The sequence below is a fragment of the Homo sapiens genome, chromosome 5 (genome assembly GCF_000001405.40).
Source record: "Homo sapiens chromosome 5, GRCh38.p14 Primary Assembly".
Lineage (NCBI taxonomy): Eukaryota > Metazoa > Chordata > Mammalia > Primates > Hominidae > Homo > Homo sapiens.
In genome coordinates this window covers 179,534,101-179,552,148 of record NC_000005.10, presented here as the reverse complement: position 1 = coordinate 179,552,148, position 18,048 = coordinate 179,534,101, and the positions used below count along the sequence as shown (strand labels likewise).

Sequence of the window (18,048 nt, the reverse complement as noted above, 5' to 3'; positions counted from 1 at the left end):
CTGTCACCCAGGCTGGAGTGCAGTGGCGCGATCTCGGCTCACTGCAACCTCTGCCTCCCAGGTTCAAGCGATTCTCCTGCCTCAGCCTCCTGAGTAGCTGGGACTACAGGTGCATGCCAACACACCCAGCTAATTTTTTGTATTTTTAGTAGAGACGGGGTTTCACCATGTTGGCCAGGATGGTCTCGATCTCTTGACCTCGTGATCCACCCGCTTCGGCCTCCCAAAGTGCTGGGATTACAGGCGTGAGCCACCGCTCCCGGCCGAGGAACTCAATTTTTAATTCAATTTAAAAGTACTGAATTTCAATTGATTCAGTTAGAAATTGAGGAATCCGGCCGGGCGCGGTGGCTCAAGCCTGTAGTCCCAGTACTTTACGAGGCCGAGGCAGGTGTATCACAAGGTCAGGAGTTCAAGACCAGCCTGGCCAAGATGGTGAAACCCCGTTTCTACTAAAAATATGGGAGGGGGGTGGGGGCGGGGAACTTAGCCGAGCGTGGTGGTGGGCACCTGTAATCCCAGCTACTCGGGAGGCTGAGGCGGGAGGGAGGATCGCTTGAACCCGGGAGGCAGAGGGTGCAGTGAGCCGAGATCGCACCACTGCACTCCAGCCTGGGCGACAGAGCAAGACCCGGTCTCAAAAAAATAAAAATAAATAAAAACAAAAACACACACACAAAAACATATGCGTGCTGTTGTATTGGATAGCACAGCTCTGGATGTCTGGCGTTAGAGGGCTAAGTTACTTAACTCTTACTATCACTGATATGCTGGCACTCTGTTCATTACAAGGGCTGAAAAGGTCTTTAAGAGATCATCGGGTGACTTTAAAATCCCCATCTCACAGGCAGAGGTGAGCGGAGGCGCCGCTGGTCCGCTGCGCGCAGGGCCCACGCCCTCCCAACACCCGCCGGCGCTCCACTCCCGCACTGAACGGCTGAAAAGCAGAACAGTGCTGGCTCCGTTTCGTGTGTGGAGTTACTACAGAGTTCCGAAGCCCGGACGCGCACACGTCCTTCACCTAGTTAGTGGGAGAGCATAGAGGCGCGGGTGCGGGAGCGCGCTCAGGCACGCGGGGCTGCGGGGGGCGGTCTCGGCTGGGCCGCCGGAGTAAAGACCCAGGCGCAGCCAGGCGCCGCCCGCCCGCCAACAGCTCGCGTAACCTCCCGGAACGGCCAGTGCCCTCCCAGCCCGGCCCCCACCGCGCCCGCGCCGGCGGCCAGCGGGGACACGCGAGTCCGCCGCGGGACAGACCCGGCCCGAGCCTACCTGCGCGCGCCGTGCCGTCCCCGCTGTCCCCGCCGCCCAGCCCCGCGGCCGCGCGCAGCGCGCTCCCGCAGCTCGCCGACAGGTTCCCGGTGGCCCTGCGTGCCAGGGTCAGGATGGGCGCCGACCAGCCCTCGGCCGCCCGCGGCCTCGTTGCGCTCCGCAGGTCGCCTGGGCCGGGCAGCTGGCTTCGGTCCACGATCTCAAACTCTTCTCCCGGCTCAAGCGCTGACCCGGGCCCCGGCCCCGGCTCCAGCTCCGGCTCCAGCTCCCGCCCCCGCCCAGCAGCGCAGCCGCCTTCCCGGTCGGCCATCTTGGCCGTGTCATGTGACCCAGCGGGCGGGCGGGCGCGGGGTGGGGGCGGGCGGGCATCGCCTTTGCCTTAGGTGGGGGAGATTTTTCTCCCTCTTCACCGCCTCGCCTTCCCTCTGTTTCGAAAGGTTCGGGAAAGTCCAAGTCATAACATAAAAAGTGTGCGTATTCCCGGCCGCCGGCAGGACCTGTTCGCGGGGAAGTTCCTCTTGAACTTTCTCCGAGGACAGTTGTGCACCCTGCCCGGCGCTTCACGGGGTTCCCTGGCCGTCGTTGTCTTTGTGACACCATTTCCTCTTTTAAATTTTCATTTCATGGTCTATATTTTCCACTTCGTCATTTTTCTGTAGCACTCATTAGAACAAGCCCCGAAAGGGCGACTAAGGAAACGCACAGGCGAGGCAGGAAAGCAGGAATTTTTTTTTTTTTTTAATCTAATGACTATGACGGCTTGGCAAGAAAGAGTGCACGATAGTGGACTGGAAATCAGAGGTGGCTTCTCCTATTGATTAGTTAAGTGGGATAACAAAAACCGACCTCATTATTAAATAAGATTTGCAGTAAGGACCACATGGCAGATGTTAGCGATTGTGACTACTATCTCTGGTATCCAACTGTGTGGCCTGGGTAAGTCACTATACACTCAGTCTGTTTCTTCACTTGGAAAAGAAAGGAATTTGAGTAAGTACAAAGGAAAATTTTGGCCGGGCGCGGTGGCTCACGCCTGTAATCCCAGCACTTCGGAAGGCCCAGGCGGGCCTTTAGTAGGACGAAACCCCGTCTCTACTAAAATACCAAAACAACAACAACAACAACAACAAAAAACCAGCCAGATGTCGTGGCGGGACAGCTCTACTCCTAGCTCCTTGGGGGGCTGAGAGTGGGAGGATCGCTTGAGCCCGGGAGGTCGATCCCACAGTGAGCGGAGATCATGGCCACTGCACTCCAGGCTGGGCGACAAAGTGAGACCCTGTCTCAGAAAAAACACTAAAATTTACTAGCACTTAACACTTTGCAAAGTGAGGCAACATGAGCCACACCAAACCAGCAGAGCTGTTTTGATTCCCAGAATGTTTACAAATCTTAAAACTTGTTGCCAATATTTAGAAATCAAAAGATTTCACATAAGAATCTGGATTTTAGCTTTCTCTGGAATCACTGGAATATTTGGTAACTCATGGCATATTCCCAGATGGCAACAAACTGTTGGGAATAAACTGTGCTGCCCCTTTAGACGCCCAGCTGCTCCCTGGACCTGTCTTGGTCCAGCCCACTTCACTAGGTTGCATGATATGTCTGGTCCCTGAAAGGCCAGTTCTCAGTGAAGGGATACCACTTCATCTAGGAGTGTTTTGGGAATTTGTGGAGTTGGTGTTTGAGTTGTGTAATGACTGAGGGCATACTACCAGTCTTTTTTGTTTGTTTGTTTTCGTACGGAGTCTCGCTCAGTCGCCCAGGCTGGAGTGCAGTGGCGCGATCTCGGTTCACTGCAAGCTCCACCTCCCGGGTTCACGCCATTCTCCTGCCTCAGCCTCCCGAGTAGCTGGGACTACAGGTGCCCGCCACCACGCCCGGCTAATTTTTTTTTTTTTTTGTATTTTTAGTAGAAACGGGGTTTCACCGTGTTAGCCAGGATGGTCTTGATCTCCTGACCTCGTGATCCGCCAGCCTCGGCCTCCCAAAGTGCTGGGATTAGAGGCGTGAGCCACCACGCCCGGCCTGGTCTTGTTTGTTTGTTTGTTTTTGAGGCCAAGTCCTGCTCTGTCACCAAGCTGGAGTGCAGTGGCGCAATCTCGGCTCACTGTAACCTCTGCCTACCGGGTTCAAGCGATTTTCCTGCCTCAGCCTCCCAAGTAGCTGGGACTGCAGGGGCGTGGCGCCACACTTGGCTAATTTTTGTACTTTTAGTAGAGACGGGGTTTCACCATGTTCGCCAGGATAGTCTCGATCTCTCGACCTCGTGATTCCCCCGCCTCGGCCTCTCAAAGTGTTGAGATTACAGGCGTGAGCCACTGAGCCCGGCCCTACTAGTCTTTACTGGATGCATAGACAGGGATGAAGATAGTCTAGAATAACAGCATTGTCCCGAATCCTTCATGACTTTCCAATGCTACTGGACATTTATGTAGGTGAAAAGTTTGTTTATAATGATCAGGGCGTGGAACCGAATTCCATTTTGTATAAAAACATTAACTCTTTTTTGGGGGAACAGTTTCAACATTTATCAGGCAAGGTTATTCTTCAGTAACAACCCCCAAATCTCAATGGCTTAACCTAAAAGCTGGTTTCTCATCATGCTACATGTCAATGTAGATGGGGTGAGTACTCTGCCCAACTCATTGTAGTCTCTCAGGACCCAGCCTGTTGGGAGTTTTGCATAAATATTACATGCTCCAGTCCTGCATGACAAAGGTCACTTATGCACATTTCATTGGTGAAAGCAAATCACATGGCCACGTTTAATTTCTAGGGAGTTGGGAAGTTCAGACCTATTTCTGTCTGGGAAAACCACAACTGGGAATCTTTGTGAGCAGTGTAATGACTACCATAAGTGTACCCTAAATTTTCCTGGAACGTAGCTAAATTGATTTGTTCAGAATTACACGTGCAAATGTCTATGTTATTTCAGTGGTAGTTGTGCCTCGTTTACATATTGAAATATATCTCATTTTATAGTGCTTCGCTTTATTGCTTTTTTAACAAATTAAAGTTTTTGGCAGCCGGGCACGGTGGCTCACGCCTGTAATCCCAGCACTCTGGGAGGCACAGGTGGGTGGATCACCTGAGATCAGGAGTTCGTGACCAGCGTGGCCGACATGGCGAAACCCCGTCTCTACTAAAAACACAAAAATTAGCCAGGCGTGGTGGTGGGAGCCTATAATCCCAGCTACTCTGGAGGCTGAGGCAGGAGAATCGCTTGAACCTGGGAGGCAGAGGTTGCAGTGAGCCGAGATCGAACCACTGCACTCCAGCCTGGGCGACAAGTGCAAAAAAAACTGCGTCTCAAAAAAAGAAAAAGTTGCTGTTGGCAACCCAACAGCACGTGCTTATTTTGTGCCTCTGTTTCACATTTTCGTAATTCTCAAAATATTCTAAACTTTTAAACTACCCTTACATCTGTTATATGATTTGTGATCTGTGATCTTTGGTGTTACTATTATTAATTGTTTTGGGGCACCACAAACTGCACCCATATAAGATGGTAAACTTAATTGATAAATGTTGTATGTGTTCTTACTGCTCCACCAACCACGTGTTTCCTTCTCCCTTACCCTCTCCTCGGGCCTCCCTGTGCCCTGAGACACAATATTGAAATTAGGCCAATTAGGCCGTGGCTCAAACCTGTAATCCCTGCACTTTGGGAGTCTAAGGTGGGCAGATCACTTGCGATCAGGAGTTCCAGGCCAACATGGTGAAACCCTGTCTCTACTAAAAATACAAAATTAGCTGGGTGTGGTGGCAGGCACCTGTAATACCAGCTACTGGGGAGGCTGAGGCACGAGAATTGCTTGAACCTGGGAGGCGGAGGTTGCAGTGAGCTAAGATTGCATCACTGCACTCCAGCCTGGGCGATAGAGTGAAACTCCATCTCCAACCAAAAAAAAGAAAAGAAAAAGGAAAAGAAATTAGGCCAATTAATAACCGTACAATGGCCTCTGAGTGTTCAGGTAAAAGGAAGAGTTGCATGTCTCTCTCTTTATATCAAAAGCTAGAAATGATTAAGCTTAATGAGGTAGGCACGTCAAAAGCCGTGATGGGCCAAAAGCTTGGCCTCTTGCACACAGTTAGCCAAGTTGTGAATGCAAAGGAAAAGTTCTTGCTGGAAATTAAAAGTGCTACTCTGGCCAGGTGTGGTGGCTCATGCTTGTAATCCCAGCACTTTGGAATGCTGAGGCGGCCGATCACATGAGGCCAGGAGTTTGAGACCAGCCTGGCCAACATGGTGAAAACCTGCCTTTACTAAAAATACAAAAATTAGCCAGGTGCAGTGCTGCGCCTGTATTCTCAGCTGCTTGGAAGGCTGAGGCATGAGAATCGCTTGAACCAAGAAGCAGAGGTTGCAGTGAGCCAAGATCAGGCCACTGCACTCCAGCCTGGGCAACAGAGCAAGACTCTGTCTCAAAAAAAAAAAAAAAAGTGAAACAGCCTTATTTCTGATAAGGAAAAAGTTTTGGTGGTCTGGATAGAAGATTAAATCAACCACAACATTCCCCTAAGTGAAAACGTAATCCAGACCAAGGCCCTCAACATCAAGGCAACACCCTCCACTGGCAAAAAGATTATGATTCACTGAAGGCTCAGATGGCCTTTAGCATTTAAAATTTTTTTTTTAATTTTTAATTTTTTTTTGCGATGGAGTCTCGCTCTGTCACCAGGCTGGAGTGCAGTGGTGCCATCTCTGCTCACTGCAGTCTCTGCATCTTGGGTTCAAGTGATTCTCCTGCCTCAACCTCCTAAGTAGCTGGGATTATAGGCGTGCGCCTCCATGCCCAGCTAATTTTTTGTATTTTTGGTAGAGACAGGGTTTCACCATGTTTGCCAGGATGGTCTCGATCTCCTGACCTCGTGATCCGCCCACCTCAGCCTTCCAAAGTGCTGGGATTACAGGAGTGAGCCACTGCGCCCGGCCAGCATTTTTTAGTTATATATATATATTTTGAGACAGAGTCTTGCTGGGTTGCCCGAGCTGGAGTGCAGTGGTGCGATCTCGGCTCACTGCAAACTGTGCCTCTTAGGCTCAAGTGATTCCCCTGCCTTAGCCTTCTGAGTACCTGGGATTACAGGTGTGCACCACCATGTCCAGCTAATTTTTGTAGTTTTAGTAGAGACGGTTTTTTTCCATGTTGCTCAGGCTGGTCCTGAACTCCTGGACTCAAGCGATCTGCCCGCCTCAACCTCCCAGAGTGCTAGTATTACAGGCGGGCGTGAGCCACCGCACCTCGCTGTAAACCATCTTTTTTTTTGAGACGGAGTCTTGCTGTCGCCCAGCCTGGAGTGCAATAGTGCAATCTCAGCTCACTGCAACCTCCGCCTCCTGGTTCAAGCGATTCTCCACCCTCAGCCCGTAAACTGAGACTACAGGCACCTGCCGCCACACTCGGAATTTTTTTATTTTTAGTAGACACAGGGTTTTACCATGTTGGCCAGGCTACTCTCTAACTCCTGACCTCAAGTGATCTGTCCACCTCGGCCTCCCAAAGTGCTAGGATTACAGGTGTCAGCCACCACGCCCAGCCAGTGAAATCATTTTCTGAACGATGCTATATGAAGTTTTCTTGCCAAAAATGTTTGCCTAGGCTGGGCACGGTGGCTCACGCCTATAGTGTCAGCACTTTGGGAGGTTGTAGCGGACGGATTTCTTTGATTCAGGAGTAGAGACTAGCCTGGGCAACATGGTGAAAACCTATCTCTACAAAACACAAAAATTAGCCAGGCGTGGTGGCTGGCACCTGTGATCCCAGCTACTTGGGAGGCTGAGGCTGGAGGATCGCTTGAGTCTGGGAAGTGGAGGTTGAAGTGAGCCAAGGTCGTGCCACTGCACTCCAGCCTGAGCAACAGAGCAAGACTCTGTCTCAAAAAAAAAAAAAAAATTAAGTCTGAGGTATGATCATGAAAAGCAAAATGGTAAAAAAAAAAAAAAGTTTGCTTAAAAACACATCAGGTATCTGGAGCAGCACTGTCCAACAAAACCTTCTGAGGTGATGGGAATGTTTTTCATTTGCACTGTCCAGTAAGATAGCCAGTGGCCACAAGCAGCTACTGAGCACTTGACATGTGGTTTGCATGACTGAGGAGCTGAATTTTACTTCAGTTCAATTAATTTAAATTTATATGTGCCTGGTGACTACTGTACTGGCCAGCACAGCTTGAGATCTAGCTTCCAGTTTGCAGAAAACGTAGAGGAGAAAGGAGGAAGTGAAAACAGCACCTGTTGTAAACCCCAAGAGACAACCCTGATGAGATCAGAGCAATCTGCTGGGAAAGACATTTTTTAATTGGGGAACTTTGAATATGGGCTAGATACTAGGTGATATTATGGAATTACTGTAAATTCTGTTAGATGTGATAATGGATTGTGCTTGCATAGGAAAATTCCCTTCTTTTTAGGAGCTGCATTAGTCTCTTAAGTAGCAGCATGTCAGGATGTCTAGACCTCACCTTAAAATACTTCCAAAAAATAAAATAGATGATGCAAAAATGGCAAATTGTTGAAAACTTTTAAATTTAGGTAATGAGTATAAAAGAGTTATATTCTGTTTACTTCTCTGAATGTCTCAGTTTTCATAATAAAAAGTAAAATGGGCCGGGCGCGGTGGCTCACACCTGTAATCCCAGCACTTTGGGAGGCTGAGGCGGGCGGATCATGAGGTCAGGAGATCGAGACCATCCTGGATAACACGGTGAAACCCCGTCTCTACTAAAAATACAAAAAAATAGCCGGGCATGGCGGCAGGCGCCTGTAATCCCAGCTACTCGGGAGGCTGAGGCAGGAGAATGGTGTGAACCCGGGAGGCGGACCTTGCAGTGAGCCGAGATCGTGCCACTGCACTCCAGCCTGGGTGACAGAGCGAGACTCCGTCTCAAAAAAAAAAAAAAAAGTAAAAATGATGGGCTGGGTACAGTGGCCTACGCCTATTATCCCAGCACTTTGGGAGGCCGAGGCAGGTGGATCACGAGGTCAGGAGTTTGAGACCAGCCTGGCCAACATGGTGAAACCCTGTCTCAATTAAAAATACGAAACTTAGCTGGGCATGGTGGCTCACACCTGTAGTCCCAGCTTCTCAGGAGGCTGAGGCAGGAGAATTGCTTGAGCCCAGGAGGCAGAGGTTGCAGTAAGCCAAGATCGCACCACTGCACTCTCCAGACTGGGCGACAGAGCAAGACTTTCATCTCAAAAAAAAAAAAAAAAAAAAAAAGGCCAGGCGCGGTGGTTCACGCCTGTAATCCCAGCACTTTGCGAGGCCGAGGCGGCAGATCATGAGGTCAGGAGATCGAGACCATCCTGGCTAATACAGTGAAACCCCGTCTTTACTAAAAATACAAAAAGTTAGCCGGATGTGGTGGCGGGCGCCTGTAGTCCCAGCTACTCCGGAGAGGCTGAGGCAGGAGAATGTTGTGAACCCTGGAGGCGGAGCTTGCAGTGAGCCGTGATGGCACCACTGCACTCCAGCCTGGGCAAGAGTGGGAGACTCCATCGCAAAAAAACAAAAAGTAAAAAGATGTATAAAAAAGTGAGTCCATATGAAACAAGAATCAATGTTTCATAAATGGTGAAAAGCCCCTACAAAAACCTTGACTGAGATTTTATTTTGGATAATAAAAACAAAAATTATGAAAATAAGTTTATCTTATATATAACAAAATTTAGAATATGTTTGCAACTGTGTGCTAGTTTTTAGAACGAATCAAGAATGAACAAGTGTTGACTTTTGTGCATAATTTTTCTGGAAAATTACATGATTCAAGATATCATTCATTTTACATCTGACTCACGGTAGAGTCAGAAAGAGAGTCTAAAAATATTTAGACTTCATTTTCCTCTCAAAGTCCTCTTTAATTCTTTGGTAGTCAATTTTTTGGTGTCTCTATTTTCATTTTATTTACATCTCTTTGGATTTAGCTAGTCCTCAGCTAATTGACCAAAAGTGGTAAAGTAATTATCCCATTCACCATGTTATTAGTCATTCTGGATTTTTTTTTTTTTCGAGATGGAGTCTCACTCTGTCGCCCAGGCTGGGGTGCAGTGGCGCAATCTCGGCTCACTGCAAGCTCCACCTCCTGGGTTCACGCCAGTCTCCTGCCTCAGCCTCCTGAGTAGCTGGGACTACAGGCGCCAGCCACCACGCCCGGCTATTTTTTGTGTTTTTAGTAGAGACGGGGTTTTACTGTGTTAGCCAGGATGGTCTTGATCTCCTGATGTCGTGATCCACCTGTCTCAGCCTCCCAACGTGCTGGGATTACAGGCGTGAGCCACCGCACCTGGCCCATTCTGGATATTTTTATGGGATATCTCATAGAAAAAGCCATTTTATGATATTGCTGTTCCCTTTATATTTTGAGCCTAAGCTCACTCTTCACTTTAATTCATTTTAAATTTATTGCTTTTTTCAAACCATTCTATTTTGAAGCTCCTGGTGAGTCATCAGCGTTAATTTCCTTCTGTTCACTTGTTGATTGGTCCATAACTCTGCTGACCTCGCCTGTCGGTGGCTTTGTATGCCACTCGAGTGGGGCTTTAATGTCACTTGTTGATTCTGTGAAATCTTGCATTGTGTGTAAGATTCACAATTTAACCGTCCAAATGACTGGCATCCTAGACATCTGAGAACGAGTGAGAGGCTGGCTGGCCATTGGTATGGGACATGGGGATCGATGCTTTGGGGTTCAGCAGGGAGTAAATTTTGAATAGGGATCAGTTTTTAAGTGGTTAATTCATTAGTGAATATGTTATCATTACGAATACCTTTGCTTCTCCAAATGGTCTTGTAGCTGCAGGGACTTGGGGAAAGTATCTTCAGATAAAGAGGACCCTGTCTATCTTGAGTTTGGAACATCAGAGCTTTTTGTGGTGGTTGTAACTAAATGGGGTGTAGGTGCTATTGCTAGGATAAATCAGAACATGGCAGTTATTTTATGAAAATAATCTTGTATTTATTAAAGGACTTGCAAAAAAGTTAACCTGAGGATTTGTGTAATGTGTCTCTAAGAGAGAGCTGTCATTACGTTGGTGAAGTGACCAATCCTTTCCCTGTTTGGCACCTCATACCAGCCACAGGGTAGTAAGAATCTCAAGTGCAGCTGAACTCCTGCTTTCAGAGGAAATACCGGGAGACAGTATGAAAAGAAAGGTGGGCTTTACGCCCCTTCCAGTGGCTTCTACAACAAAAGACTTCCTGATTTGGTGACATTTTTCCATGACACGTCATATTGATTTGTCTTGTTCTCCTCTCTGCCCCACACCATTTTATTATAAACAAATCTGAGGCTGGGCGAGGTGGCTCACGCCTGTAATCCCAGTACTTTGGGAGCCGAGGCGGGCAGATTACGAGGTCAGGAGTTCAAGACCAGCCTGACCAACATGGTGAAACCCCGTCTCTACTAAAAATACAAAAATTAGCTGGGCCTGGTGGCGCGTGCCTGTAATCCCAGCTACTCAGGAGGCTGAGGTAGGAGAATCGCTTGAACCTGGAAGGTGGAGGTTGCAGTGAGCTGAGATCGCACCATTGCACTCCAGCCTGGGCGACAGAGTGAGACTCCATCTCAAAAAAAAAAAAAAAAAAAAAAAATTGAAGATAAGCCGGGTGCGGTGGCTCATGCCTGCAATCTCAGCACTTTGGGAGGCCAAGATGGGTGAATCACTTCAAGTCAGGAGTTTGAGACCAGCCTGGCCAACATGGTGAAACCCCATCTCTACTAAAAATACAAAAATTAGCTGGGCGTGGTGGCGCATGCCTGTAATCCCAGCTACTAGAGGGGCTGAGGCACAAAAATCGCTTGAACCCGGGAGGTGGAGGTTCCAGCGAGTCTAGATTGTGCCACTGCACTCCAGCCTGGGCAACAGAGCGAGACTCTGTCTCAAAAAAAAAAAAGAAAATTGAACAGAGATTATAACACTTTTACCATATCTATCCATTTATCATTCCTAATTTCATCTATTACTCTTACTCTTTGGTGTATTTCAAAGGAAATTCCAGACCCTAATAGTTTAAAAAGCTTTTTGTTATTTCAATCCTACAGAAGAGTTACGAGAATAAAGATGGCACAAAGTACAACTGTATGCCCTTGACCCCAATTCACCTGGAGCTCACGTTTACTTCATTCGTGTCATCATCTGCATGTGCTCCCTCTCTAGATCTGTATGGATATAAGCACATTTTTCCTTGGACTTTGTGAGGGTGAGTTACATACATCATGACCTTTTATTTTTAAACTTTTCAGGATATATTTCTTTTTAAAAAATTATATTCAAATTTTATTGCATTAAGATGATGCATTGGTTAGGACTTGAAAAACTTTGTTTTGGCCAGGCGCGGTGGCTCACGTTTGTAATCCCAGCACTTTGGGAGGCCAAGGTGGGGAGATCACGAGGTCAGGAGTTCGAGACCAGATTGGCCAACATAGTGAAACCCCGTCTCTACTAAAAATACAAAAACTTGCCGAGTGTGGTGGCACGTGCCTGTAGTCCCAGCTACTTGGGAGGGTGAGGTAGGAGAATTGTTTGAATGCGGGAGGCGGAGGTTGCAGTGAGCCGAGACTGAGCCATTGCACTCCAGCCTGGGCAACAGACTGATACTCTGTCTCAAACAAAAACAAAAACAAAAAAAACCCTGTTTTATAGAGATACATCTCTTTTTGTTATTTTTCAGCTTTATTAAAGCTTAACAGACATATAAAGATTATATATATTTATGCTATATGATGTGATGTTTTGGTATATGTATGATTAAATCAAGCTAACTAGCATATTCATCACCTCACATACTTTTCATTGTTTTGTGGTGAGAACATTTGCAGTCTACTCTCTTAGCAATTTCTTTTCTTTTTTTCTTTTTTTTTTTTTTTTTGAGACAGAGTCTTGCTCTGTCACCCAGGCTGGAGTGCAGTGGCACAATCTTGGCTCACTGCAGCCTCTGCCCCTCGGGTTCCAGCGATTCTCCTGCCTCAGCCTCCTGAGTAGCTGGGATTACAGGCGCCCGCCAACATGCCTGGCTGATTTTTGTATTATAAGTAGAGACGGGGTTTCGCCATGTTGGCCAGGCTGGTCTTGAACTCCTGACCTCACATGATCTGCCTGCCTCAGCCTCCCAAAGCGCTGGGATTACAGGTGTGAGCCACTGCACCCGGCCAGCAATTTTCTTTTTTTGTTGTTTTTGAGATGGAGTCTCGCTCTATTGCATACACTGGAGTGCAGTGGTGCGATCTTGACTCACTGCAACCTTCACCTCCTGGGTTCAAGTGATTCTCCTGCCTCAGCCTCCTGAGTAGCTAGGACTACAGGTGTGCACCACCACACCCGGCTAATTTTTGTATTTTTAGTAGAGATGGGGTTTCACCGTGTTGCCCAGGCTGGCCTCGAACTCCTGACCTCAAGCGATCTGCCGACCTTGGCCTCCCAAAGTGCTGGGATTACAGGTGTGAGCCACGACGCCTGGCCTCTCTTAGCACTTTTCAAGTGTACAATACACTATTACATATAGTCACCATGCTATATGTACATTAGTTCTCCAGAAACTCCGTTCCTTTCATCATCATCTCCCCATTTCCTACCCCCATTCCCCAGCCCTCCCCTGATAACCGCCATTCTACTCTGTCTTTCTATAAGTTTGAGGTTTTAGATTCCACATGTGAGATCATTAAGTATTTGTTTCTCTGTGCCTAGTTTATTTTACATAGTATGATGTCCTCCGTGTTTATCCAAGTTGTCACAGTGACAGAATTTCCTTTTTTTTTTTTTTTTTTTTGAGGCTGGGTCTTACTCCCTCACCCAGGCTGGAGTGCAGTGGCGCTGTCTTTCCTCAGCTTCCCCGGGTTCAAGTGATTCTTCCATCCCAGCCACCCAAGTAGCTGGGACTACAGGTGTGTGCTACCACACCCAGGTAATTTTTGTATTTTTTGTAGAGACAGGGTTTCTCCATGTTGCCCAGGCTGGTCTCAAACTCCTGAGTTCAGGTGATCCACCTGCCTCAGCCTCCCATAGTGCTGGAATTACAAGCATCAGCCACTGCGCCTATTGGATTTCCTTCTTTTTAAGGGCTGACTTGCATTCCTTTTTAAAAAAGAGATGGAATCTTACTGTATTACCCAGGCTGGAACTCTTGGCCTCAAGCAATCCTTTGACTCTCCCTTCCAAGTAGCTGGGACTACAGGCACGAGCCACCTCGCCTGCCTTCCTTCACATTTACACACAACACATTTTCTTTATCCATAAATCCGCTTAGGTTTTTTCAATATCTTAGCTACTGTGAATAACGCTGCAATGAACATAGGAGTGCAGATAGATCTTCAACATACTGATTTCATTTCCTTCGGGTATATACCTAGAAGTGGAATTGCTGGATCACGTGGGTAGTTCTATTTTTAATTTCTTGAGGAACTTCCATACTGTTTTCTATAATGGCTGTACTAATTTACATTCCTACCAACAGCAGGACCTATTTTTCGAGAACTGGGATATTCTCTTATGTAACCGTGATAAAGTCTCACCTTCAGTACATTAAACATTGATACATACTTTTAATGTAATCTTGCATTTTATTCAATTCTTAATTTAAAAAAATGATTATATTGTCTGGGCACGGTGGCTCACACCTGTAATCCCAGCACTTTGGGAGGCCGAGGCAGGTAGATCACGAGGTCAGGAGATCGAGACCATCCTGGCTAACAGGGTGAAACGCCGTTTCTACTAAAAATACAAAAACAAAATTAGTCAGGTGTGGTGGTGGGTGCCTGTAGTCCCAGCTACTTGGGAGGCTGAGGCAGGAGAATTGCTTGAACCCGGGAGGCAGAGGTTGCTGAACGGAGATCGCGTCACTGCACTGTCACCCAGGCTGGAGTGCAGTGGTGCAGTCATGGTTCCTTGCAGCCTCAAACTTCTGAGCTCAAGTGATCCTCCCACTTCAGCCACCTGAGTAGCTGGGGCTACAGGCATGAACCATCATGAGTGGCTATTTAATTTAAATATTTATTTAGAGATGGAGCCTCACTCTGTCATCCAGGCTGGAGTGCAGTTCTCGGCTCACTGCAACCTTTACCTCCCGGGTTCGAGCAATCCTCCCACCTCAGTCTCCTGAGTAGCTGGGATTACAGGCATGCGCCACCACGCCTGGTTAATTTTTTTCATATTTTTAGTAGAGACGGGGTTTCACCATGTTGACCAGGCTGGTATTGAACTCCTGAACTCAAGCAATCCACCCACCTCAGCCTCCCAAAGTGCTGGGATTACAGGTGTGAGCCATCACCCCCAGCCTATTTTTTTTTAAACCTTTAATCAATTTTATTCTTCATATTTGGGTAAAGGTACAGATTCTAGAGCATGTCTATGAAGTCATGGTGATATCACCGTGCTAAAGATGATGGCTGTAGGCGAGGCGCGGTGGCTCACGCCTGTAATCCCAGCACTTTGGGAGGCCGAGGCGGGTGGATCACGAAGTCAGGAGATCGAGACCATCCTGGCTAACATGGTGAAACCCCGTCTCTACTAAAAATACAAAAAATTAGCTGGGCGTGGTGGCGGGCGCCTGTAGTCCCAGCTAATCGGGAGGCTGAGGCAGGAGAATGGCGTGAACCCGGGAGGCAGAGCTTGCAGTGAGCCGAGATCGCGCCACTGCACTCCAGCCTGGGCAACAGAGCGAGACTCCGTCTCAAAAAAAAAAAAAAAAGATAATGGCTGTAGGTTGGCTGATAATTTAAAATGCGAGAAAAATGAGAAGCAGCACATCATTGCTTCTTATTCTAGGACATACAGAGAGTTTCTTCACTAAGTGCCACTCCAGTTGTCTTCACAATTTAATGCTACGGAAACCTAAATATTTCTACTTCATCTACGAAATCATTCAATTGGCAGGCAAAACATTTTTTATCACCTATTTATAAAAGTATGAGAAAGGGAAGAAAAGTAATAAAATGAATCAACTCATGCTATCGTAATTCTCCTGTCTAGCTATAAAAGCATACGGTTGTAGGAATTGCTATCTAAAATTTTTATGAGCTGCAGTAGCTGCATTCCATTTTCATTACCATTTTTAAAAATCTTTTTGCTCGGTCATCTAAAGACGTTTTTCAAATTTCAAAAGATCAGCTATTATTGTCCTCCTTGTGCCCCTAGGAATTAATAAAATGCACATTAATTTCCTTCTTTCTAAATGTTCCAGCTAAGAACTAAAAAATAAAAAAATGGGAAACATTTTCTTGGACCATTTTTGTTTTCACTGTAACAACAAAAAATGTGCAAGATAAACAGAACTCAAGTTTTGTTTTATTTTTCTTTTTGTCTGTTTTTTAACAAGTCTGTCCAGAATACTACAGGTTACATAGCTGTAACCATCTTAAGGAAAATGACATTAAGTTTGCAACAAATACCTGCTGGTGAAAACACATTACTAGCATTTCAAAAATTTAACAAAATATCCTAAACAGCTATCTTTATATTTGTAAACGAAGTATAAACAACTGGCTTAACCAGTTTCCACTGCACGTCAAACAGGTGGCAAAGTGATAGAGATCATCTTTGATTTTTTTTTTTTTAAAATCTTCACTTTTCTAGGGTAGGTGGTTCTTCCTAATCGTTTCTTGAGCCAATATTCTCAAACTTTATGGTCTTTTCATTCCTTTATTAGGACCAGAAATTCTCACTCTCTAAAGCTGTGCCTCTTAATCTTTTTCACATTATGATCCCCCTGGGACATGATACTATTTGTTGTATAACACAGCGTTGTAAATGGACGAGCCTGCTTGCTGCAGAGGTAACCCTCGGGACCTGGGACACTGTTTGTTGTATAACACAGCGTTGTAAATGGACGAGCCTGCTTGCTGCAGAGGTAACCCTCGGGACCTGGGACACTGTTTGTTGTATAACACAGCGTTGTAAATGGACGAGCCTGCTTGCTGCAGAGGTAACCCTCGGGAAGTCTGGTTCCCCCGAATTTTACCTGCTCATCTCTGGGCCAAGGGCATAATATCTCTGCACAGCTAATAGCCCGATGGCCACACTAGTCCAGAAGCTCCGCTCTGCACAGAGTTGGAAGTTCATCTACTTCTCAGTGAACAACATCATGAGTTCTTCAAAATTGATGCCGGTGTAGGCCAGGTGAGGTGGCTCGTGCCTGTCATCCCAGCACTTTGTGAGGCCAAGGTGGGCGGACCATTTGAGGTCAGGAGTTCGAGACCAGCCTAGACAACATGGTGAAACCCCGTCTCTACTAAAAATACAAAAATTAGCCAGGCATGGTGGTGGTTGGGAAACTATCCACAGTCATCCGGGTGAGAGATGAGGACTGAACTGAGGCAGAAGCAGTGGGGATTTCACAAGGGAGTCTAAGACCACAGATGCTGGAGAAGGGCGATGGGGAGGCTGTGGTTGTTGGTTGGACATGGGCTACGGGAGGAGAATGAAGTATCCACTGGGCTTGCTGAGCTGGGCATGGGTGAGTTGGGGGGCAGAGGACACATCCAATGTGGACATCCAGGTGGATGCTCAGGCCTGGGAGTACCCCAGGAGTGCAGCTATGTGTGTCTCCTGCCCCACAGACAACCATGAAGGGATGCTGGTGTACGTCAGCCCAAGGTAGGAGGAAGGGCTGGGCAAGGCAGGGAGAGGAGGCCCCAGACCTTTCTACCAAAGCCTATTTACCCGGAGGAGCACAGACCAGACTCTCGTTCCTGTCCTCCCTGTCGTTCCTGACTCTAGGTAACCTTGGTGGACCCCTGTAACTGTCTGGCTCTAGGATTCCTCTTCTGCACAAGAGTGATGCTACCTCATGAGCTTGTGGGGACTCTCACATGCTGAGCTTTTTACATAAAAAAATAGCACAGGACTACATGAGTATATTCTCATTGCAAAAAATCAAAACATGGAAAAGCAAAAGTGCAAGTTTCTGTTCTCCAAACTTCCTTACCCCCTCCGCCCCCCACCTGCCCAATTCCTTCCCTTCCCTTTTTGGGTATCCATATAGACAGTTTCCTTCACATTTACTTACAGACATAGACTTATATGACAAATAGTTTTGTTTTTGGTGTTTCCCTCTAACATTTTGTCCAGAAAATCATATAGAAAAGTTGAAAGAATTGCAGAATGAACACTCTTACAATCACCTAGGTTTTAGAGTAAACACTTTGCTGTACTGCGTTATCACACGCCTCCTTATTTACCCATGCTTCCTTTCCTCCATCTGTCCTTTTACACTTTCACTTTAGCATACGGTGAGTTGCACCAATCTAGAGTCAACATTGTGTAAGGGTTTTTTTTTGTTTTCGTTGTTGTTTTTTGAGATAGGGTCTTGCTCTGTCTCCTCGGCGGTGGCATGCATGATCTTGGCTTACTGCAACTCCTGCCTCCTGGGCTCGAGCGATCCTCCCGCCTCAGCCTTCTAAGTAGCTAGGACCACAGGCGCCCACCACCACGCTCGGCTAATTTTTGTATTTTTTGCAGAGATGGGGTTTCACCATGTGGCCCAGGCTGGTCTTGAACTCCTGAGCTCAAGCTATCTGCCCACCCAGGCCTCCCACAGTGCTGGGATTACAGGTGTGAGCCACTGGACCTGGCCTATTTCTTTACTTTAAAACCTCAGAAGATAACTTACCTCAAATAAAAAATTACTAAAATTAAGGATTTCTAATTGGCTGATTCTTTTTGTTTTTAATTTGTGGTAAGAACATTTAACATGGGATCTACCCTCTTCACAAATTAAGTGGGCAGTGCAGTATTATGAACAGGCATGACGTTGTGCAGCAGATAACACGTTCATCAATGGG

General features: G+C 46.9%; 1 protein-coding gene and 2 long non-coding RNA genes across 10 annotated transcripts in view, besides 2 other annotated features; 1 reads left to right on the top strand and 2 right to left on the bottom strand.

The window, feature by feature from the left end:
* RUFY1 (RUN and FYVE domain containing 1) overlaps positions 1 to 1,595 on the bottom strand; it is a 59,459-nt gene extending 57,864 nt beyond the window's left edge. For all 6 annotated transcript variants that reach the window (XR_245276.4, XR_245277.4, NM_025158.5 and 3 more), the window contains exon 1: positions 1,270 to 1,595. Coding sequence is in view for 4 of the 6 variants with exons in the window: in NM_025158.5 (NP_079434.3) it covers positions 1,270 to 1,579 (310 nt within the window). In the remaining 2 variants the exon portion in view is untranslated. The remainder of the gene's footprint in view (positions 1 to 1,269) is intronic.
* LOC128966623 (uncharacterized) overlaps positions 1 to 18,048 on the bottom strand; it is a 130,785-nt gene that overhangs the window by 101,093 nt on the left and 11,644 nt on the right.
* Positions 961 to 1,670: a silencer, noted in NCBI's record as "silent region_16730". NCBI's record gives its function as "represses an Ori minimal core promoter by ATAC-STARR-seq in GM12878 lymphoblastoid cells {active_cell/tissue: GM12878}" and the evidence as "EXISTENCE:reporter gene assay evidence [ECO:0000049][PMID:35858748]".
* On the top strand, positions 1,645 to 17,604 carry LOC105377762 (uncharacterized). 3 transcript variants are annotated; one of them, XR_941315.4, is made up of 4 exons: positions 1,645 to 2,205; positions 11,317 to 11,474; positions 16,008 to 16,384; positions 16,825 to 17,604. It is a non-coding gene; the product is annotated as an uncharacterized LOC105377762 (long non-coding RNA). The 3 variants fall into 3 exon arrangements; XR_002956240.2 differs by lacking the exon at positions 1,645 to 2,205 and having other exon boundaries at positions 11,129 to 11,474; positions 16,008 to 16,115; positions 16,191 to 16,384; XR_941314.3 differs by lacking the exon at positions 1,645 to 2,205 and having other exon boundaries at positions 11,129 to 11,474.
* Positions 7,453 to 7,512: an enhancer, noted in NCBI's record as "active region_23750". NCBI's record gives its function as "activates an Ori minimal core promoter by ATAC-STARR-seq in GM12878 lymphoblastoid cells {active_cell/tissue: GM12878}" and the evidence as "EXISTENCE:reporter gene assay evidence [ECO:0000049][PMID:35858748]".